This window comes from Homo sapiens, chromosome 13, assembly GCF_000001405.40.
Source record: "Homo sapiens chromosome 13, GRCh38.p14 Primary Assembly".
NCBI classification, from domain to species: Eukaryota; Metazoa; Chordata; class Mammalia; order Primates; family Hominidae; genus Homo; species Homo sapiens.
Genome location: NC_000013.11, coordinates 87,591,764 through 87,616,664, shown reverse-complemented (window position 1 = coordinate 87,616,664; position 24,901 = coordinate 87,591,764). Strand labels below are relative to the sequence as shown.

General features: G+C 34.5%; 1 protein-coding gene and 1 long non-coding RNA gene across 2 annotated transcripts in view; both read left to right on the top strand.

Annotated features, from left to right (window-relative positions):
• LOC124900338 (formin-like protein 5) overlaps window positions 1–2,398 on the top strand; it is a 58,101-nt gene extending 55,703 nt beyond the window's left edge. The window contains exon 2 of the mRNA XM_047430855.1: window positions 910–2,398. The gene's annotated coding sequence lies outside the window, so the exon portion shown is untranslated. The remainder of the gene's footprint in view (window positions 1–909) is intronic.
• The window catches only part of MIR4500HG (MIR4500 host gene), a 226,977-nt gene that overhangs the window by 54,299 nt on the left and 147,777 nt on the right, over window positions 1–24,901 (top strand). The gene's annotated exons all lie outside the window — the stretch shown is intronic.

The window sequence follows — 24,901 nt, the reverse complement described above, 5'->3', positions numbered from 1 at the left end:
ATTCTCTTTGGCTTTATAGTTATAAATTCAAAGAATCAATTAGAGTTCATCCCAAGATTTATGTTTTTAAGTATTTAATTAATATCATAATGTAATTTAAGTTGATACTTGGATCAGCTGGAATTCTTTTTCATGTCAAAAATGTCCATAAGTTCATCAAGTTGGAGATATATGTTCATTGAATCATATATCTTTTTTTCCCTTTTACAAGTGCAAGATAAAGGAAGAAAAGAAAAATATCTATTAAATTAGAATAATTATTTCCAAGTATGTAGTTCAAACTACTTGTTTAACATTATGTCATTCTTTCAATCAGCACATTTTTAGGAGCTCCTGTTATCCTAATATTATTTACCTCTCAATAAATTTATTAGAACTTGAGAACAGAAAACAACAACAACAACAAAAAACACATACACTGAAGAAAAAAAGAAAATATTATTTTAAGGCCAAATATGCTAGTGCATCAAATAAGTAAGTAATTTCTTCTCAAACAGGAATTATATACTACTCTTGGAAATTTTTTCAATGAAGACATCACCACAGAGAAATGAATTTATGAGTTTCAATTATTTCATTTGTTACCATGACAACACTATAGACAGTTTCCCTTTTCTGTTTTTTTTTTAATTTTTTAACATAATATTTATTCAACCTGCAATGTTTATTAAATCAAGTATTTTGCCATGTGATGGAGGTATCAAATGGAACATGCCATCACTATTCTAAAGGATTTTGCTCTTTGGGGACCGGGGAGAATCTTATATTAAGTATCAGGGCTTGAATTGATTATATCAAATTCTCCTAAAATTGGTTAAATTGTTAAATCTCTGCTCATTATTTTCAATTATTTAATAATTTGTGGTGTTTCAGAATTTTTTATATGTATTTATTTTTACTTCGTTTTAGGGTGTGGTTAAGAGAAAAAAAAATTGCCATTAAGGAATCAGCAAATAGGATGTCTGAAGTGAGGATATAGCACCTATCTCTGAGATTAAAGTCATCTGATCAAAAATGATGCCTCTGAGACTATAACAAAGGAATGAATAATGAAATATAAGAATGGGGATTCTGCACTAACTCTATGGGGAAGAAAACAATGGTAAGAGCAAAAGGATCAACAGCAGCAACTCCTGTTTCCATCGATTTGTTTATAAGATGCCGTCTACATTATTCCAAAATATCCCAGCCTTTTTCTCCCCTGTCAAGCTTCCCTGTCTCTAAAAGAGATCTTGCTCTTCCTGCACAGAAAGAAATAATAATATATCACTGAAATATTATTATTACATTTAAAGTTACTTACACTCTTTCCCATTCCTATAATTTCCTAGTTGGAAGCCCTCGCACTTGGGAAATTATTTAATGTGATTTTTTCTCCCTGACATATAAATTGTCACATCACCTTAAATGTTGGGACTTCAGGTTGGGAAGTGGGTGGATAATATTCTTGAGGAAGCTGCCTTCCTTTTATAGATAATGTTACCTCCTTGTAAAGGTTGCTTTCTATGTATTATTCTACTTTTTTTCTAAGAATATACCATATAATGAAAACTTTACAGGCTTGACATCCTATTACTAAGATTATAATTGTTGAGGTCTTCAATAGAATTTCAAGTCAAATATGTTGTGCTATATGCCTACTTACATTTCACTCTTTGATTCACCTAGTTAGGATCTCAGAATTGAACTTTAATTGCAGATTTATTACTTCTTTACTCTCTTCATGTATTAATTTAAAATTTACTTTTTCCTACCTTCATCTTGGTTTGAGAAGGTTATTTCCCTTTCATTTGATTTATTTGTTTTAATTTACATGTGCATATTTATTACCTGTATATAAGCAAAATTTATAGAAGAGGATAGTATGAGTTAATAAATAAGTATATTATCAGGATATTTTCTTTATATTTAATATATGTTGTAATTAAAATGCACTGTTTAGCTGAACTGTGCCTCCTGGAAACTGTAGCATTTAAAGACAGCACTATGTGAAATATAAAATTATGTTTTTTTTCTCTGTGTCTATGATTTATTGAAGTAATGTTCTTCAGGAAAATTTTTTTAATTTTCAAATTTATAATTGACATAATAATTGTACATATTTATAGGGTACAATGTGATGTTTCAATGCATGTCGATAATATAACGATCAAATTGGAATAATTACCATATCTATCACTTTAAACATTTGTCATTTTTATGTGACAGGTGACAGCATTTAAAATATTCTGTTCTAGCTATCTTGAAATATACAGCAAATTGTAGTTTGCTGTAATCATCCTTCTGAAATTAATTTTTTCTGAGTTTAGATTTTCAGAACACCAAACTGGTAACCAAATTATTAATCAAATTGACAGAAAATTTTATTCTTGTTAATAAAAATACCAATTTATATTTACATTTGTAACTGCTATGTCTATTGTGAGCTGTAATCCCTTTATAGAGGTAAATATGCAAATAAAATAAGCAAATGGTGAAAAAGCAGCCTTTCAGGCTGACTACTTTCTAAATAGATCTAAACTTCAATCCAAATAAGAAAATGCAATATTGAAATTTTAAGGATGCTAAGTCATTTTGTGGGGGTAAAGGATTAATATTAAATTTCAGGAGTTAGATTAGGACAGTGACTAAAATGAATAAGATTAGGAATTCAAGATTTTTTCTTAAATGTATTGAGCTGTGATGACCCATGTCAATTAAAATTTTCCAGGTTACGTGACAAACACTATAACCTTTACAACATAAATTGTGGAGATTTGTATTTTGAATAAGGTTCAACTAAGTAGAAATGATAACCTCCATAATGTTATTTACTACTCCTGGAAATTTTTTTTGATAAAAAATAAAAATGTTATCGTAATTACAGTAGTGAGTCATATGTAATGCCTCAATGGCAATTTTAGTTTATTGTCCCCCAAAATAACATTACTATTCTACATAGCTAAGTTTATTGGTTTCAGCATGACATAAATAGGCCTACGTTTGAAAAATAATTTAACCTCTCTTATTGAGGTTATCCTTTCTATTTACTTGAACCTTATTCATCTTTCTAGGCATTATCATATAGTGAAAAATACTGAAATATACAGATAAATATTAATTATAAATATCACAGCCACCAATTACTGAGCCATCACCATGTGTCAGACATGTTAAGGATGTATCACACGTCATTTCCAACACTCTTAACAGCACGCAGTGTAAATTTTTTCAGCTCCATTGAAATTTCCTCCATTGCTTATAAACAAACTGAGCTTAAAAGATGCTAAAGTAGCCAAGTGCATAGAATGAGTGATTGACATGGATTCAAACCCAGGCTTGAAAACTCAATCTCTTTCTACCAACAAAACTTCCTTAGAAAAAGAATAAACCTACACAAAACAATTGGGGATAGTCCCTACCTTTCAATGGCCACAACATTTTGTTTGATTTTTATAGATTTCATGTTCTTTATTTTCCAGCTAGGAACAATTTGTCTAACTCACAAGGTTAATGTGGATACTCCCTCTCAAAAATGTTTGTTTATTTTAATTCCCAGTTCCATGAAGTATTTTACGTTTATTTATAATTTGTTCTGAAATTAAACCTGCATGTTTATGGGTGTCACAATGTGATCTGAGGCACGTTGGATGACCCCAAGACCCTTTTAGTGTGTCCAAGAGTGCCTCAGTTTGTTTTCAAGTACTTATCTGTACATAGCTGGATCTTCTTTATATACTTCAACCAGAACAACATACCATAACCCACTGAGTTCAGAAAAGTGGAATATTCAGTGATCTACTAAGCCAATCATTAAAGAATTTCACAAAAATACAAAGCAACACAGATCTCACTAAACCTACTTTTGCTTTGCAAAATAACCATTTGTCATCAAAATGTTACTTTTGTTAATATTTATGTATATGTTATTACTATTTTAAAAATTTAGTGAATTGCTAGGAAAATTAGTGAGTATTTAAAATTTTTTTCAGTTTTAATTTTTGTTTTGTTTTGTTTTGTTTTGATATGGAGTCTTTATCTGTTGCCCAGGCTGGAGTGCAGTGGCGCCATCTCGGCTCACTGCAAGCTCTGCCTCCCGGGTTGACACCATTCTCCTGCCTCAGCCTCCCGAGTATCTGGGACTACAGGCGCCCACCACCACGCCTGGCTCATTTTTTGTATTTTTTTTTTTTTTTTTTAGCAGAGACGAAGCTTCACCGTGTTAGCCAGGATGGTCTCGATCTCCTGACCTCATGATCTGCCTGCCTCGGCCTCCCAAAGTGCTGGGATTACAGGTGTGAGCCACTGAGCCTGGCCCCAGTTTTAATTGTTAATACAGTAATATCAATAGATACAACCTGCATAAACTAAAGCTCTTTGGGGCCTTCCATGACATTAAGAACGTAAGCGGTCTCAAGATAGAGAAGTTTCAGGACTACCACTGTACATTTTTGTAACATTTATTTTATTTCTTGTATTGCTAATTTATCTTTATATAGTTGCTATTTTATAAGATGTAAACTCCTTGATAATAAAAATGTTATTTATTTGCCATGTCATTTAAATGCCATGATTTGCATAATTGGCATGTAACAAATATTTGGAGATTGTTGATTGGCAGAGATTAATTAATTTACCCTCATCATTACATAGGTAGTTAAACTCAGAGCAGAAATTAAAACTGAGATTTCTAGTAGTATTGTGAGTCACAGCTAGAAAATAAAATCTGTCTCTAAAGTGGGAGGATTTCATATTTTAGCATGGAAAATTATTTCCCCTTGTTCAAATATTTCAACTTCCTCCTGGTAAGTGTCCCATTCATTTTGCAGCCCAGGCTTAGGGAATAAAATTGGTATGAATTTGTTTACTGTAGAAGTGAAATTTACTTTCAAAATATAAGTTTTTAAATATCCACAATTAGGTATTGGCTGAAAAAAATGTATGTATAAAGATGAACTTTATTTAAGGAAGTGTATTTAGACTTCTCAATAGCTGGAAAGCCATCTCAGTCTTTCTCTTAATATCTTGTCTTCTTATATTTCTTTGTGTGCCTATGTTTGCATCTCATTTCTCTACATGGCTGGTGTTATTAGTCCATTCTCACACTGCTATAAAGACATACTTGAGACTGGGTAATTTATGGAGAAAAGAGGTTTAATTGAGTTACGGTGTCACAGAGCATATAGGTAACATGGATGGGGAGGCCTCAGGAAACTTATACTCATGACAGAAAGCAGAGGAAGCAGGCACAATCTTCACATGGTGGAGCAAGAGAGAGAGAGCATGAAGAGGGAAGTGCTACACATTTTTAACCAACCAGATCTCCTGAGAACTTGTTCACTATCACAAGAACAGCAAGGGGTAAATCGTCCCCGTGATCCAATCATCTCTCATCAGGTCCCTCCCGCAGCATTGGAAGTTACAATTTCACATGAGATTTGGGTGGGGACACAGAGTCAAACCATATCAGTTGCCTGATATTATTAATTACATGTGGCTCGTCAAAGCATCCCCCCCAATGCAAATCGAATCCCAAATACAGACAGTGGGTACACAGCTTTACAGGTCAATCATGCATAGCTAAGCTACACGGCATTGCCTTGTCTCCATTCCAAAGTCCCCAGAGAAAAATCCAATGGATCCCGTGTAAGTGAGTTATCTATTCTCTCTATACCGTTCTCTGAGCCTAGGGTGGCAGCATGTTTAGGTTGAGAGGGGGAGTGTTGTTTTACATAAAGTGTTAAGCTAAGTGTATGTTCTTTATGAAGGAATACAGAGAAGTAGATATATGGGAAAGATCTGTACCTTTAGGACTCCAAATTATCAAATCCTTCAAAAGATGTATAGGGAATCCTTACTGATCTATGAAACACTAATCCCCAAATTATATAAACTTTTGCTTAGTAGTTTTAATACTACTTGCCATAAGGCCTCTGGAAGATTTGATTAAAAATAAAAACGGTATCGTAACTACAGCAGTGAGTCATATATAATGCCTAAATGGCAGTTTTAGTTGGTTGTCCTAAAAAATAACATTACTATTCTACAAAACTAAGTTTTCTGGTTTCAGCATGACATAAATAGGCCTATGTTGGAAAATAATTTAAATGTAACTGTACACATACATATTGAAACTTTTCAGGATACATTTTTACTATGAATTTGCTGTATCTGAAATGTAAAGAAATATACAATGCAGATTTTTATATAAAGCATAATGTAGGGGAAATTATGAAATTTCAAAATAAGCTTTCAGTAGCATTGTAATATGCTTTTGTAGAAACCAAGTTATCCAGAAGGCACAAGGAGTTGCAGTGTGTCCTAAGTCAGCAATGCACAACGCCTAATTTATTTTCCATTAAGTTTTGTGTCTAGAAGTTACATAATATCTAAGAAGGAGCTTAGAGGAAAGCTTTAGAACAAATGAAACTAAGAGCTATAGGTTGTCATTACAATATTCTTTAAGAGCTTATCTATTGTCCTGCAATAAATATATTGCTAAAAAATTTGTTCAATAAGCAAACCTTACAATAAAGTGACACTGATGTACATAATCATATACTTTTAATACTGTTTTCAAAAAATATTCATGAAATAAAATATCGAAGTCCTTTCTACATTCCAGTAATAACTGGACTACAGTTGTTGACTACAGAACATATATTGCACGTTGGTTCTGTTCACTATTAAGAATCCAGCTTAATACGAAAAATGAATATAGAATCTACATACAATATAGTAATCATTACAATTTGTGTATGTAGCTCTCCTTGCATCTTCTTGTCGAAGTAAGTGGTAATGATTCTGTATGATATATTTTTATATTATAGACTGCTAGTGGGAAGACTTAGGCATGTCAACTTTTCCTTTGTGGGAGAGGTTAGGAGGCTGAGTGGATGATCAAAAGTGCTGCAACACAGAGATCAGCTGAGTCTGAAAGGGGAAGACAATCCATTGTGCTGATTATAAGTATCCTTCCGTTCTAGATAGGTATAAGTTTTAATTTTACACTGGGTTGGAGAACTCTAAGGAATTTAGACATATAAGTTATTTTTCTTATTCAACTTTCATTAAAGAAAACAGTTGTAATGTTTTGTTTGTTTGTTAAAAAAAAAAGAAAAGAAAAGAAAGAAAAGAGGGCCAGGCACGGTGACTCACGCCTGTAATCCCAGCACTTTGGGAGGCCGAGGCAGGTGGTTCACCTGAGGTCAGGAGTTCGAGATCAGCCTGGTCAACATGGTGAAACCCCGTCTCTACTGAAAAAAAACAAAAAATTACCCAGGCATGGTGGCACACGCCTGTAATCCCAGCTACTTGAGAGGCTGAGGCAGGAGAATCGCTTGGACCCATGAGGCAGAGGTTGCAGTGAGCCAAGGTCCTGCCATTGCACTCCAGTCTGGGTGACAGAGTGAGACTCAGTCTCAAAAAAAAAAAAAAAAAAGAAAAAAGAAATAAAAGAAAAGAAGAGGAAAAGATAACTCTGTTATACCAATTACTAGGTATGTGAAAGAGAAAACAACCAACAGTGTATAAGGGCGACAGAATCAAGGCTGGGATATGGAAGGAGGGGAGGAAGAGAGGAAGAGAGAACAGAAAATATTTTTCCAAGTTGTGGTTCTTGATCCAAGATCTGAAAATATAAGGTTTAACTTGCCAAAGTAGGGCAATGGCTTGCCAATGGGACAACGGCTGCTTTGTAAAACCATTTGCTCTGAGTTCAGATAAGTAAAAACTATTTCTCCTATTTTCCTTGACTCTCTCATGCATGATCTCGGGTTCTCTGTATTTTCCAGTTTTGGATGTCACCACCTATATCAGTTAGAGTCCACCTGCTATAGTAAACAACCGACACAATTACAGTGATTTAAATAAGTAAACTCTATTTCTGTATGTAATAATAGTCCTGTTAGTTCCAGTTATCAGGCAGCTTTGACCCAGGAAGACATTCACAAAATCAGACAATTTTCCTTCTGGGTTCCTACTATTCAATAGTTTGTGCCCTTGTGTATTCAGTCAAAAATAAACTGCTTCCACATCTTCATTCCAACCCATGGGAGGGGGAAAAAGACTCACCCATACAAAAAAGCTTAACTTGAATCATCCAGAAGTAGCATCCAATATCTCCACTCACACACATTGTTCCAAACATGAGGTACATATGCACACCTAGCCAGAGGAAAGCCAGGGACATACAGGTTTTAGCTGGATGGTCAAATGTTTAGATAAAGATATATTTATAGGGAATAAAGGAAATGAATTTAGGGAGAAAAGCACTACCTGTCTGATTTCTGATTTCTTCAAGTTACCTTCTGTTCAAGTTGGCTTTGGCTATGCAGTCAGTGGTTTGCTTTCATTATGCATTTCCTGACCTTAGTCCTATCCCTGGTTCCATTTTTATCATCCCATTACTATCTTTCATCCTCTCATGTATGCCTTTTTCTTTATTTTCTGATTCCACTCCCACCTCTCAACCCAAAATTTTGCTGTAACCTCTTTCAGCAGTATATTTTGGTACCTGGTACAGTCAACGTGCTGAGTGTTAGGGTTCCATTAAAGGAAAAATATACATTTTACATAATTTCATAAAGAAAGATTTCTTACAGTTAAGTAAATTAAACAGGATATCATGTACATAATGCATTTGATTTAGAAGTTGAGTTTTATGATGTTTAGAAACTGTAACAATAAGGATAAAAGATAATTCTAGAAAAATTCATACATTCAAAAAATACTATTGTAATAAAAGTATAAAATTTCTATAATAAAGAGAAAGTAATGCACTTTGTTGGATTTTGTGCATGCAATACATTTTTATTGTGCATCAAGTATATTCTTTACACTGTTTTGCCTACTGGGCTTCAATCATGATCAAAATAGCTAAAACTCATTGACCATATGAATTCAGTATTCTACTGGGGTAAGAGGGATAATTAATTAAAAATACTTATCAGTGAATCACATATTAGGTTAGAAGGCAAGGCATCAAACTATGCTACTTTTCATAGATATATCTGGTTCTTTACTCTTCATAAACAAATGGAAGATTTTCCTCACTCCTTTGAGATTATGCATAAGAAAATGACGTATAGACATATTCAATAATTATTATAAACATATTCAATAACTATTATAGGCATATTCAATAACTCATACACAATTTCCCATGTTCTCTTCTTTCTTCCTGCTGCTGAAGTTAACTGGGTAAACAGAAGGTGGTGGTAGAATCTTAGCTTCATAGGTCATCCATTAGCTGTATCCAAAGGAACTACAATCCCATGAGACTCCCTGCAGACCTACGTGGTGTTTGTAGAATGATCTTGGTTATTTATACCACTGAGATTTGAGACTGATTGTCACATCACTATAACCTACTTACACTGTTTGAAACAGACATTGTCAATTCAAAACAAACAAAGAAAACCAAACAAAAAACAGATCAGGGAAAGAATAAACAACAACAAAGAGAAGATGATTTGCTGTTCAAAACGGGTGGTGAATAGAGATTTTCCACTGAATATGAGACACATGAATAAGAAATGAAGGTGAGGGAGATAGCAATGAAAATATTTGGGGAAAGACAGTCCAGACTGAGGAAATAGCCTATGCAAAGGGCTCTAAGGCAGGGATTTTCCTTGCTTATTCTGTGTATAGAAAGGCCATTTAGCAGAGTGACCAGGCAATTGACTGACTGAAATCAACGAGTGGATTACTGATGAGAAAGATGGTGGGTAGATGGTATATGGTCTTTTTGTCATTGTAAGGATTTTGACTACTTGTCTGAGTAAAACATGAGAAATGATGTAAGTGACAAAATAGAAATTGTATTTTAAAAGAATCACTCAGACTGCTGGTTCATATAAAAAGTAAAGCGGACAACTGCAATCAGGCAAATTAGGAGTTTTTGGTTTTTTTTTTTTTTTTTTTGGTGTGTGTGCGTTGTGTTTTTTCTTTAAGTTCCTAGATATGTGTGCAGGATGTGCAGGTTTGTTATATACGTATACATGTGCCATGGTGGTTTGCTGCACCTATCAACCCATCATTTAGGTTTTATGCCCTGCATGCATTAGGTATTTGTTCTAATGCTCTCCCTTCCCTTGTCCCCCAACCCCCAACAGGCCCCTGTGTGTGTTGTTCCCCTCCCAGTGTTCACGTGTTCTCATTGTTCAACTCCCACTTATGAATGAGAAAATGTGGCGTTTGGTTTTCTGTTCCTCTGTTAGTTTGCTGAGAATGATGGCTTCCAGCTTCATCATGTTCCTGCCAAGGACATGATCTCGTTCTTTTTTATGGCTGCATAGTATTCCATGGTGTATATGTGCCACATTTTCTTTATCCATTCTGTCACTGATGGGTACTTGGGTTGGTTCCAAGTCTTTGTTAATGGAAATAGTGTTGCAATAAACATAACTGTGCATGTATCTTTATAGCAGAATGATTTATAATCCTTTGAGTATATACCCAGTAATGGGATTGCTGGGTCAATTGATATTTCTGGTTCTAGATCCCTGAGGAATCTCCACGCTGTCTTCCACAATGGTTGAACTAATTTACACTCTCACCAATGGTGTAAAAGCATTCCTATTTCTCCAAAGCCTTGCCAGAATCTGTTGTTTCTTGGCTTTTTAATGATCGCCCTTCCGATTGGCATGAGATGGTACATCATTGTGGTTTTGATTTGCATTTCTCTAATGATTAGTGATGATTAGCTTTTTTTCATATGTTTGTTGGCTGCATAAATATCTCCTTTTGAGAAGGTTCTGTTCATATCCTTTGCCCACTTTTTGATGGGGTTCTTTGTTTTTTTTTTTTTTCTTGTAAATTTATTTACATTCCCTGTAGATTCTGGATATTAAGTCTTTGTCAGATGGGTAGATTGCAAAAATTTTCTCCCATTCTGTCGGTTGCCTGTTCACTCTGATGATAGTTTCTTTTGCTGTGCAGAAGCTCTTTAGTTTAATTAGATCCCATTAGTCAATTTTGGCTTTTGTTGCAATCGCTTTTGGAGTTTTAGTCAGGAAGTCTTCGCCCATGCTTATATCCTGAATGGCATTGCTTACGTTTTCTTCTAGGATTTTTATGGTTTTGGGTTTTATGTTTAAGTCTTTAATCGATCTTGAGTTAATTTTTGTATAACGTGTAAGGAAGGGGTCCAGTTCCAGTTTTCTGCATATGGCTAGCCAGTTTTCCAGCACCATTTATTAAATAGGGAATCCTTTCCCCATTGCTTATTTTTGTCAGGTTTGTCAAAGATCAGATTGTTGTAGATGTGTGGTGCTATTTCTGAGGACTCTGTTCTGTTCCTTTGGTCTATATATGTACCATGCTGTTTTGGTTACTGTAGCCTTGTAGTATAGTTTGAAGTCAGGTAGTATGATGCCTCCAGCTTTGTTCTTTTTGCTTGGAATTGTCTTGGCTATATGGGCTTTTCATTGGTTCCATATGAAATTTAAAGTAGTATTTTTCTAATTCTGTGAAGAAAGTCAATGGTAGCTTGATGGGAATATCATTGAATCTATAAATTACTTTGGACGGTATGGCCATTTTTACGATACTGATTGATTCTTCCTATCCATGAGCATGGAATGTTTTTCCATTTGTTTTTGTCCTCTCATTTCCTTGAACAGTGGTTTGTAGTTCTCCTTGAAGAGGTACTTCACATTCCTTGTAAGTTGTATTCCTAGTTATTTTATTCTCTTTATAACAATTGTGAATGGTAGCTTATGATTTGGCTCTCTGCTTGTCCATTGTTGGTATATAGTAATGCTTGTGATTTTTTGCTTATTGATTTTGTACTGAGACTTTGCTGAAGTTGCATATCAGCTTATAGAGTTTTTAGGCTGAGACGATGGGGTTTTCTAAATATAGAATCATGTCATCTGCAAACAGAGACTATTTAGCTTCCTCTCTTCCTATTCTAATATCCTTTATTTCTTTCTCTTGCCTGATTGCTCTGGCCAGAACTTCCAATACTATGTTGAATAGGAGTGGTGACAGAGGGCAATCTTGTCTTGTGCTGGTTTTCAAAAGGAATGCTTCCAGCTTTTGTGCATTCAGTATGTTATTGGCTAGGGCTTTGTTTTCTCAGTGCCACATGGCACTTATTCTAAAATCGACCACATAATTGGAAGTAAAACACTCCTCAGCAAATGCAAAAGAATAGAAAAAAAGACAAACAGTCTCTGAGACCACAGTGCAATCAAATTAGAATTCAGGATTAAGAAACTCACTCAAAACCGCATGGAAATTGAACAACCGGCTTCTGAATGACTCCTGGATAAATAATGAAATTAAGGCAGAAATAAAGAAGTTCTTTGAAACTAATGGGGAAAAAGAGAAAATGTACCAGAATCTCTGGGAAACAGCTAAAACAGTGTTAAAAGGGAAATTTATAGCACTGAATGCCCACATCAGAAAGCTAGAAATATCTCAAATTGACACCCTACCATAACAATTAAAAGAACTAGAGAAGCAAGAGCAAACAAATCCAATACCTAGCAGAAGACCAGAAATAACTAAAATCAGAGCAGAACTGAAGGAGACAGAGACACAAAAACCTTTGTGTGTGTGTGTGTGTGTGTGTCCCTGTGTGTGTCCCTGTGTGTGTCCGTGTGTGTGTGTGTGTGTTTTAAGAAGGTGTCTCACTCTGTCCCCTAGGCGGGAGTGAAGTGGTGCAATCTTTGCTCATTTTAACCTCCGCCTCCTGGGCTTAAGCGAACCTCTAATTAGGAGATTATTATATTAATCCATGTGAGAGATGATGGTGGCTCAGATTAGAACATTAGCATTAGAGAGGGTGACATATGTCCTGATGAATTACATGTGAATGTGAAAAAAGAGAGTATTCAAAATGACTCCAGGCTATTTTGGCCTACACCACTGGAAGAAAGAGAGGAGGAAAATTGAGACAGAGAGACAAGACAAATTTTAAAAAATGCTTTCCTGAGAAAGTAAGAGGAGTACAGGGACGGAGAATTGCAAGAGATGCAAGTCAAGTATATATATATATATATATGTAGCTTCAAAGAAATAACACTGCTTTTATGATGATGTAAATGTTGATGGAGATGAACAAAATAAATAAATTCTGAAGACAACCTAAGTGTGTGTGTCTGTGTGTGTATATATTTATATATATATATAAATATATACACACACAATATATATACACACACACACACACACACACACACACACATAGGTATCAAAAATGTGAAGATCTTAACAACACCCCAAATTAAAGATAATTTTACATGCAAAGAAGTGTCCATTACAAAAAACACAAGAATCAATGGAATCAAGAAGGATATTCTTATAAAACCTTAGGTAAGATAAATAATAGTTGATAAGTTTTACTACATTACAGTTACAAAATTGTTTATTGAAAGATTCAGCTGATAAAATTAAAAGCTACAATTTATAAAACATATTGGCAACCCATATATCTGAAAGATATCCAAAATATGCAAACTACTTCTATAAATTAATACCCAAAATAGAACTAAATACTTAAGAAGAAATTTGAAAGAGGAGGAATAAAAGTAGTGATTGAACATATGAATAAATGAAATCAAGCCTCGTTACTCATAGGGAAATATAAATTAAGACCTTCATGAAAAATTATTTCCTAATTATCCCAGTGTCAAAATTTAGAACATCTGATTATATCAAGTGCTGGAAAGCCTACATATCAATTTTTACTTTCATACATGACTGGAAAGAGCATGTATCAGTGCAACCATTATTTTAAAATGTTTTGAAATTACTTCATTTCTCCATTATTAAATTTTTTGTTACACTTTAATTATCAGTCTTTCAACGGTTTCCTGGAAATTCCGAAATGTATTTGTAACAATATACTCTATCTAAAATTATAAATTTTACTATGTCCCAGACAATAAATGTAGAATGGACAAATCATATTTACTCCAGCCTTTTTAGATTGTTTTCATATGTTAAAATCCTAACAATTCATGTTATAAAACTCACAAACATTGTTACTGTTGTTACTTCAAACATTTTCACTCCCATGCTCACATACCTGCATGCACGCATACACATTTATGTTTTTTTCTCTGCTGTTTATTTCTAATTAGAATTCTAACTGGTATCATTTCCTTCAGAGTGAAGAACTTTATTTAGTTGTTCTTGTAATGCAGGTGTGCTGGTGATGATTTCTTTTAGCTTTTTTTTTTTTTTTGAGGTACAGGTTGTTTTGCCTTAATTGAAGATTTCTTTCATCCAGTGTAACAGTCTAGATTGACAGGGTGTTTTTCTGTTATTGTTCTTGTTTTTATCCATTTCAGTAATTTTAAAATGGGGTAAAAATCTATAAAATATCTCAAGGTTCTGTCATTTGGAATATAAAAATCTATATTTGGATGAACAGGAGATTATAGGATTCCAAATATATTTAATTAAATGATGGCTCAAATACTGAAACCTGCTGAGTAGATAGTTGTTCTTTCCTTGTTGGTCCTCAATAGAAAACCGGATGTTGTTGTTGTTGTTGTTCTTTTTGCTACTTTATAAACTGTATGATCTTTAACTGTGTTGCAATTAATATTTTATATTGTTTCATGTTTCATTTTATAGAGCTCTGTATCATAAATTCTTTCTTAATAATAATATTATTGAATGTAAGATTTAAACTTTTAAAACAATTATTATATAGCATGGCAGGCAGAATAATTTCTTCTCAAAAAAAAAGTCCCCTTATTAATACCTGGAGTTTGTGAATATGTTTATTTATATGGCAAATGAGGCTTCACAGATGAGATCAAAGCACAGATTGAGATGAAGAGATTATCCTGGATCATTAGGCTGGAGCTACTGTAACCACCAGGGATTCAATAAATGAAAGACAGAGTCAGGAGGATCAGAGTCAGCGAGATTTGAAGATGATGCTTCTCTGCTGGCTTTAAGGATGTAGGAAGGGGCCTTGAACTAAGAAATTCAAGAGAGGCCTGTAGAAGATGGAAACTATGAAAGAGTGGATTCTCCAGTAAAACCTCTAAAAGAAATGCAGACCTGTCAACATCTGCACTTCAGCCCAGTGAAACCCATTTCAGACTTTATACCTCCCAAATTGTGGAATAATGACTTTATTTCATTTTAATCCACTAAATTTGCACATATTAATCTTTTTGAGCTCTGGTGTGGTGAGCATATAAGAAGGGAATGTGAAAAGAGAGTGGAAAAGAGACTTTCAGGGAGGTTTGCAAAAACAGTATTAGGATTGCCTTGACTTTCTCTTCACTGAGCATTAGCATTTTATCCAATTTGTCCACAAAAAGGGAATATATATACACACATATACACATATACACACAAATATATGTGTATATATATACACACACACATAATTTGTTTTTTAAAAAGAACATATTTTTTAAAAAAGGTTGAATATATATGTATATATGTGTGTTATTCTCTCTATATACATATACGTATAATTATTTTTTAAATAGCACATATAATTCATTTTTTAAAAAAGTTTAAATATATGTCTGTGTGTGTGTCTGTGTGTGCATGCGTTCATGCGTGTGTATAGGGTTGACCCTTGAACGTGTGGGTTTGAACTGCACGGGTTCTCTTATACTGAGATTTTCTCTCTCTTCGGCTACAGCTCTGATATAGCAAGACCAAACCATCATCTTTCTCCTCCTTCTCAACTCAACGTGAAGACAACAAGAATGAAGACTTTTGATGATCCACTTCCACTTAATGACTAGTACATATATTTTCTCATCCTTATGATTTTCTGAACCCCATTTTCCCCTAGCTTACTTATGCTGTATTGTAAGAATATAGCATATAATACACATGACATACAAAATATGTGTTAACAGAATGTTTATGTTGTCAGGTCAGCTGTAGGCTATTAGAAGTTAAGCTTTGCGGCAGCCTAAGTTATCCATGAATTTTTGACTTCATGGAGGTTGATACCCTTACCTCCAACATTGTTCAAGTATCAACTGTATGCAATACATATACCCCCCTCACCCTTCCAAAACTCACATTCTGCAAAATTGGCAGGGTGTATGGGCAGGCTGGAAACTTATACTGGATTTCTATGTTGCAATCCTGAGGCAGTTTCTTTTTTTTCCAGGAAACCTCAAATGTTTTTGCTCGTAACTTCTTCATCTTATTGGAACAGGCCCACTCAAATTATTGAAGTTAATTCAAATTTTTGAAAAGTTTAAATTTTATTTATGACTTATTTTAAAAATTGTTTGATAACTAAAAAAAGTATTTGTGGTGTAAAACATGATGTTTTGAAGTATATATACAATATGGGATGGTTAAATATAGCTAAATAATAAATGCTTTATCTCACATAGTTATTATTTTCACCATAAGAACATATAACATCCACCCTCTTTACATTTTCAAGAATACAATATATTAACTTTTATTATAGTCACCTTGCTGTACAACAGACTCCTTGAAATTGATTTTTCCCGTCTAACTATATTTACATATACTTTGGCCAATGTCTCCCCAAATCCCAAATCCTCCTAACCACCCCAGTTTCTAGTAATCACCATTTTGCTTTTTACCTCTATGTGATTAATGATTAATGATTCTAGATGCCATATTAGTCAGAGTTCTCCAGAGGGACAGAACTCATAGGATATATGTGTAAGTGAAAGGGAGTTTCTATATATAAAATATATATGTGTATATATATAAATATATTTACTATATTATATATTATATAACATATACTATACAACATAAATATATAGTGTATATATAGTATATAGTATATATAAGCTTGCTAATTTATTGTAGTTCCATTTGTCTATGTTTTCTTATTAAAATATGCAAAACACATATAAGTATGTATACTATATATACTAGTATGTATAGTACTAAGACTAGTATGTTGTACTAGTATGTAGTATATATAGTATACATATGAGATATATATATACTATATATACTACTATATTATATGGATATATAGATATATATAAGTATATATGTATATATACTGGTATATATTATATATAATATAATATAATGTAGTAATATATAATATATAATATAATGCAACATTATAATGTAAGAATATATAATATATAATATATTACACTGTATATAATATAGTATATGGAATATACTACAATGTATATAATATAGTATATGGAATATACTACAATGTATATAATATAGTACATATAATATAATGCATATAATATATATATAGTGCTGCCAGAAATGATTAACATTTGAGTAAGTGGACTGGGAGAGGAAGACTAGTATATAATATATATATCACATTTTCTTTATTCATTCAATTATGGACACTTAAGTAGATTCCATCTCTTGGCTATTGTAAATAGTTCTACCATAAGCATGAAGAGCTGATATCTCCTCAACACACTAATTTCAGTTCCCTTGGATATTGACCCAGCAGTGGGATTGCTGGTTCATATAATAGTTTTAATTTTAATTTCTTTAGGAATCTCCATATTGTTATCCATAATGGCTGTATTAATTTACATTTCAATCAGCAAGTGTGCAAGAGTTTTCTTTTCTCCACATACTTGTAAACACTTGATATCTTTAACGTTTTTAACAATAGCCATTCTAACTGGGGTGGGTGATATTTCCTTGTGGTTTTAATTTGTATTTCCCTGATGATTATTGAAGTTGAGCATTTTTTCATGTCTGCCAGCCATTTGTATGCCTTTTTTTGCAGAGTGTCTATTTAGGTTTTTAGCCCATTTTTATTTTAATTTATTTGGTTTTTGGTAATAAAAGTTTAAGTTTCTTATATTTTTTGGATATTAACACCTTGTCAGGTGTATAGTTTTCAACTATTTATTCCCATTCTGTAGGTTGTCTCTTCATTCTTTTGATTATTTCATTTGCTGTGGAGAAGCTTGCTAATTTATTGTAATTCCATTTGTCTATGTTTTCTTATAAAAATATGCAAAACATATATAAAAACATAACTGTGCTATGACGACTTAGCCAAAAAATTCTTGCCCAAGTCAATATCATGAAGTGTTCTCCCTGTGTTTTCTTCCAATAGTTTCATAGTTTCAGGTCTTACATTTAAGACTTCATTCATTTTGAGTTAATATTTCATATGGTGAGAGATAAGGGGCGAACTTTATTCTTCTGCATGAGGTTATCCAGTTTTTCAACAACATTTATTGAAGAAATTGTCCTTTCTTGGTACCTTTCTGTATTCTTTGGACCTTTACTGAAAATCAGTTAACTGTAAATGTGTAGATTTGTTTCTGGAAGCTTTTTTTCTGTACCTTTAATCTACATGTCTATTTTTCTGTCAGTACTATGCTGTTTTCGTCACTACAGCTTTGCAGTATACTTTGAAGTAAGTTAGTCTGATGCAAGTCTAAATCTTTTAGTTAACATCAACTGACTGCAAATGTTAAACACATCTAAAGACACCTTCACATGAGCATTTAGACTAGTGTTTGAATAATACCTGGATTTCATAGCCTAGCCAAGTGGACATATAAAATGAACCATCACAGTCCACTCCTTGTCAACTTGTCACACATACACATCTCTTTAAATCATATTTAATTTCCAAATAAAGATAATAGCAAAGAATACTTCTTTCTGACATGATACAATCATCCTGCATAACCCTGAAAATCCACCAACTCTTTCCCCAGAAGAGGATGTAAAGGTCATGGGTGGTGTTTTCTCTGATATCATGTAACTCAAATGCAATGATATACAGTTAATATTTAAGTACTATGTTGCAAAGTTAATACAACTTTTTTTATAGAAAGGGATAATATAAGAGAAAGCAAAGGTATTTGTGTATATGTGTTTGAGTGTATATACACACAGAGTCACACATATGTATACACATATATATGTACATATACCCCACATATATATACACACATATTTACAATTAAATCATATTTACAATACAATAAAGTTACAGTTTTTGTTTCTGAAGTAGACCTGTGGTCTTAGCTGGTAATTATAATTGCTTTCTTCCGCTATCCATTCTATATTACATTTGTCTTCAGCAATCACCTCAGCTGGTTGTGGTTCTTTGTCAAGTAATATAATCCATATAATCCAAATCTTTATTTCTTAAGGGTCTATGCCTTTTTTTTTTTTTTTTTGATGGGATCTTACTCTTTTGCCCAGGCTAGAGTGCATGGCCCTATCAGAGCTCACTGTAACCTTAAACTCCTGAGCTCAAGCAATCCTTACACCTCAGCTTCCCAAGCAAATGAGACTACAGATACATGACACCACACCAGGCTAATTATTTTTTGTCTTTTACTTTTTGTAGAAGTGGGGTCTTGCTATGTTGCCCAGGCTATTCTTGAACTCCTGGCCTCAAGCAATCCTCCCATTTTGGCTTCCTGAATTGCCACGATTACAGGTGTGAGCCACTGCACCCAGATTTTCATTAACTTTTTTTTTTTTGAGATGGAGTCTCTCTCTGTCGCCCAGGCTGGAGTGCACTGGCACAGTCTCAGCTCACTGCAAGCTCCGCCTCCCAGGTTCACGCCATTCTCCTGCCTCAGCCTCCCGAGTAGCTGGGACTACAGGCGCCCACCACCACGCCAGGCTAATTTTTTGTATTTTTGGTAGAGACAGGGTTTCACCATTCACAGGATGGTTTCGATCTCCTGACATTGTGAACCACCCGCCTCGGCCTCTCAAAGTGCTGGGATTACAGGCGTGAACCACCAAGCCTGGCCGATTTTCATTAACTTTTAACCACAGCAGGATATGGTAGTACTCAGAAGCACTAAGGGATCTCGTGTATTGTAGATATATTCTTCTTTACCTCAATTGCAGAAGTCTAATTTCCCTTAGCATTCAAGACCAATCACCTTGCGAGTATAGTAGCTCCTTTATTTGCCTGTTGATTCAGAGTCATGAGAAATCCAAATTGACTGAGCAACAGTCTTAATTTCCACTTCGATGAATTCATTGTTCTTTCTCTTGGTGCACTTCTTCCCTTTGGAATGAAAACTTCTAGACAAGTAGGCCATAAAGTTGCTGGGACAGAAGGCAAAAAAATTTCCTAGTGGATCATTAGGGTTTATAGTGAAAAGTACCATTCTTATTTCTACTCCGTTGATTCCTGGACCAATAAATCCTGGCTATGGGAGAAACAGCAATTTATATGGGGCACAGATTTAGAGCATAGACAGCCTCCTGAAGGAAGAACATTGCCCCAATCCTGCAAGATATTTCAACCTAGCCATCAAGGTAGCTGAATCTTCAAAGGGCCATTCTATCAAGCCAGCTGCTTCAGAATAGTGGGGAATATGGAAAGAACAGTGAATTCTACTACAAATTTGAAAACAGCAGGCAAATGTAACAATGCAATAAAAAACATCAAATTTCCCTATCCCCTAAAAGCAATAACTATCAGCATTTATTGTGACCTCTTTCTTTTTTTTTTTTTTTTTTTTTTTTGAGACGGAGTCTCTCTCTGTAGCCCAGGCTGGAGTACAGTGGTGCGATCTCGGCTCACTGCAAGTTCCACCTCCCGGGTTCACGCCATTCTCCTGCCTCAGCCTCCTGAGTAGCTGGGACTACAGTCGCCCGCCACCATGCCCGGCTAAGTTTTTTTTTTTTTTTTTTTTTTTTTCTACTTTTAGTAGAGATGAGGCTTCACCGTATTAGCCAGGATGGTCTCGATCTCCTGACCTCGTGATCCACCCGCCTCGGCCTTCCAAAGTCTTGGGATTACAGGCGTGAGCCACTGCGCCTGGCCCCTATTGTGACCTCTTTCTACAAATGTGTTTTGTCTGCTTTTATTTATTCTTTTATTTATTTTTGTATGGCTCATCCCTGTAATCTCAGCACTTTGGAAGGCCATTGCCTGCTTTAAAATTCATATTTTATTCATAGGTTGTGTGCTCTCTTTAATCTATAGTCATATGTCAATTAACAAAAAGATATGTTATCAGAAATGCATTGTTGAGCAATTTTGCCATTGTGTGAACAACACAGAGTAGATTGGCCAAATTTAGATGATATAGACTACTATACATCTAAGATATATGGTATAGCCAATTGTCGTAGGCTACAAACGTGAACAGCATGCTTGTTCTGAATGCTATAGGCAATTGTAACACAATGGTAAGTATTTAAGTATCTAACCATACAAAAAATATGGTAAAAATGTGGCTTACAGATAAAAGGAACACCTATATAAGACACTTACCGTGAGTGGAGCTTGTAGGAATGGAAGTTGCTCTGGGTGTGTCAGCGTGTGGTGATTGAGTGTGAAGGCACAGGTAGGACATTACTATATGTTACCATAGATTTGCAAAGGCAGTACACTTCAGCTACACAACATTTATAAAAAATTTTCTTCAATAATAATTTAGCTTACTGTAACTTTTTTCTTTATATACTTTTAAATTATTTTCAAATTTTAACTACTTTGTAATAACATTATAGCTTAAAACATAAACAACACATTGTGCAGCTCTACGAAAGTACTTTATATTTTTATTCTATAGTTTTAAATTTATTTTTTCAATTTTCATTTTTTACTTTTCAAATTTTTTGTTAAAAACAAAGACACAAACACACACATTAGTCTAAACATACATAGAGTCAGGATCATCAGTATCACTGTCTCCCACCTCCGTATCTTGTCTCACTGGAAGGTTTTTAGGGACAATAACGCACAAGGACCTGTCATATCCCATGATAATAAGGCCTTCTTCAGGAATATCCCTTGAAGGATCTCCTGAGGCTGTTTTACAGTTAATTTTCATTTTTAAGTAAGCAGAGGGAGTACATTCAAGATAATAATAAAAAAGTACAGCAAATACATAAACCAGTAACACTTGCTTATTGTCATTATTAAATGTTAGGTACTACACATAGTTGCATGTGCTATACTTTTATAAAGGTGGCAAGGCAGTAAGTTTGTTTACACCACATCACCACACACATGAGGGTAAATGTTTGGGCTATGATGTTGCAATGGCTAAACTGTCATTAAGCAATAGGAATTTTTCAGTCAGTGTATATTTTAAGGTTTTTCCATGTCACACAGTTTTGCCACTCTCAATGGCTGCCACATTGTTCACCTTACGGTTTTAGCATATTGTGTCTGTTTATTAGTGAAGATATTTAGAGTCTTGTTATAGCCTTTTTCTACTTAGCATATTTTTATATATTTTTTCAATTTAGTTAATTTAAACAGCAGTTTTCTATGAATTTGCTATCACCTATTTAGTGGCTCTGATTGATAATTTTAACCTTATATAATAGAGCTGCTTCACAGTTACACTTCAAAGGTACACAGTTTTAAAAAGTTGAACTATTTAAATTACCTAGGTTATTGTTATTGTGTAGTGCAGGATGACTAAACAGTTTTCTCTAAATAAAAAATGAATTACTCTACCCCTGTTTGTGGGATTTCTTTACAATGCTTGCTTAATCACAAATAATTGTTTGTGTAAACTACCTTTTTTTAATTTTTTTTTTAATTTTTGAGATGGAGTCTTGCTCTGTCACCCAGGCTGGAGAGCAGTGGCATGACCTCCACCCACTTCAACCTCTGCCTCCCGGGTTCAAGCGATTCTCCTGCCTCAGGCTCTCGAGTAGCTGTCCCTACAGGTGCCCACCACTGTGACTGGCTAATTTTTGTATTTTTAGTAGAGACAGGGTTTCACCATGTTGGCCAGGCTCGTCTCGAACTCCTGACCTTGTGATCCACCTGCCTCGGCCTCCCAACATGCTGGGGTTACAGGCGTGAGCCACCACGCCTGGCCAAAAATATATTTTTAGAGGCTGAGGTTCTTCATATTTTCTAAATTTTATAAAACAGAAAACTGAAAAATTTAAGAACCTATTAATATTTATAAAATGAAACATTATTTCTCAGGATATAAATCTAAGCTTTGTAAATATTTTACTCACACTGAAAAACATTGAGCCACCGCACCTAGCATTAAACTAACATTTCTTTATAGAGTGTCTGTATGAATACATGGATTTACTTTTTGTCAGTGCTTATATTAATGACAAATTAATGAAATTATTGATTCATATAAGAAATAATTTTTAAATTATTTTTTTAAATGTTTGTGAATACATAGTAGGTGTATAAATTTGCGGGGTATATGAGATGTTTTGATACAAGCATGTAATGTGAAATAAGCACATCATGGAGAATGAGGTATCCATCCTCTCAATCATTTATCTTTTGAGTTACAAACAATCCAATTACATTATTTATTTTTAAATATACAATTAAGTTATTACAGACTATAGTCACCCTATTGTGCTATCAAATAGTAGGTCTTATTTATTCTTTCTATCTTTTTGTACCCATTAGCCATCTCCACCTGCCCTCCAACCACCCATAAGTTCAATTGTTTTTATTTTTAGATCCCACAAATTAGTGAGAGCATGCGATATTTGTCTTTCTGCGCCTAGCTTATTTCACTAAACATAATGCTCTCCAGTTCCATCGTGTTGTTGTACATGACTGGTTCTCATTATTCATATAACTGAATAGTACTTCACTGTGTATATGTACCACATTTTCTTTATCCACTCATCTGTTGATGGACATTTAGGTTGCTTTCAAATCTTAGCTATTGTAAACACTGCTGCAAGAAACATAGGAGTGCAGCTATCTCTTTGATACATTGATTTCCCTTCTTTTGGGTAGTTACCCAGCAGTGAGATTCCTGGATCATATGGTAGCTCAATTTTCAATTTTTTAAGAAACTTCCAACTCTTCTCCATAGTGGTTGTACTAATTTACATTCCCACCAACAATGTATGAGGATTCCCTTTTCTCCACATACTCGCCAGCATTTGTTATGGCCTGTCTTTTGGATGTAAACCATTTCAACTGTGGTGAGGTGGTATCTCATTGCAGTTTTAATTTGCATTTCTCTGATGATTAGTGCTGTTGAGCACCTTTTCATATGCCTGTTTGCCATTTGTATGTCTTCTTTTGAAAAAAAGTCTGTTCAAATGTTTCACCCATTTTTGATTGGATTATGAGTTTGTTTGTTTTTTTTTTCTAAGAGTTTTTTGAGCTTCTTATATATTCTGGTTATTAATCCCTTGTCAGAGAGGTAGTTTTTGCAAATATTTTATCCCATTCTGTGGGTTGTCTCTTCACTTTGTTGATTGTATCCTTTTCTGTGCAGAAGCTTTTTAACTTGATGTGATCTCATTCGTCTATCTTTGCTTTGGTTGCCTGTGCTTGTGGGGTATTGCTCAAGAAATATTTGCCCAGACCAATATCCTGGAGATTTTCCCCAATATTTTCTTGTGGTAGTTTCATATTTGAGGTCTCTTTGGTTTAAGTCTTGAATTCATTTTTATATATGGTGAGAGATAGGGGTCTAGTTTCATTCTTTTGCATATGCATATTCAGTTTTCCCAGCATTATTTATTGAAGAGACCATCCTTTCCCCAATGTATGTTCTTAGCACCTTTGTCCTTCCCTTCAAGGCAGTGGATTCCTTTCTGGCCCAGGGTGTATCTAGAAATGTCCTCTGGGAACTAGGACCTGGAATGCAAGCCTCATGACTCTGACTGGTGCCCTATTCTGTTGTGGCTGAGTTAGTATCCAAAATGCAAGACAAAGTCCTCTCCAGTCTTCCCTCTGCTCTCCTCAAGTGGAAGGAAGGGGTCTCTTTTGGAGCCTGGAGCTGGGCAGCCAGGGGTTAGTGGAGGGGTGATGCCAGCACTTCTTTCGTTGCCCCAACTGGTATCTCAGATTGTGACCTGTCCCCTCAGTCCACTGTCTCTGGACCTAGTTCAGCCCTAGGACTTGCCTATGAGTTGCAGTCCTTATGGCCTAGACTGCCTTTTAAGTTTACTTAGAGACAAAAGCACTTTGGCCTTAGGTGACGAGGTTTTCCAGGCACTCAAGTTTGGACCACTGGGATTGGCAATTCCCTTCTGGCTA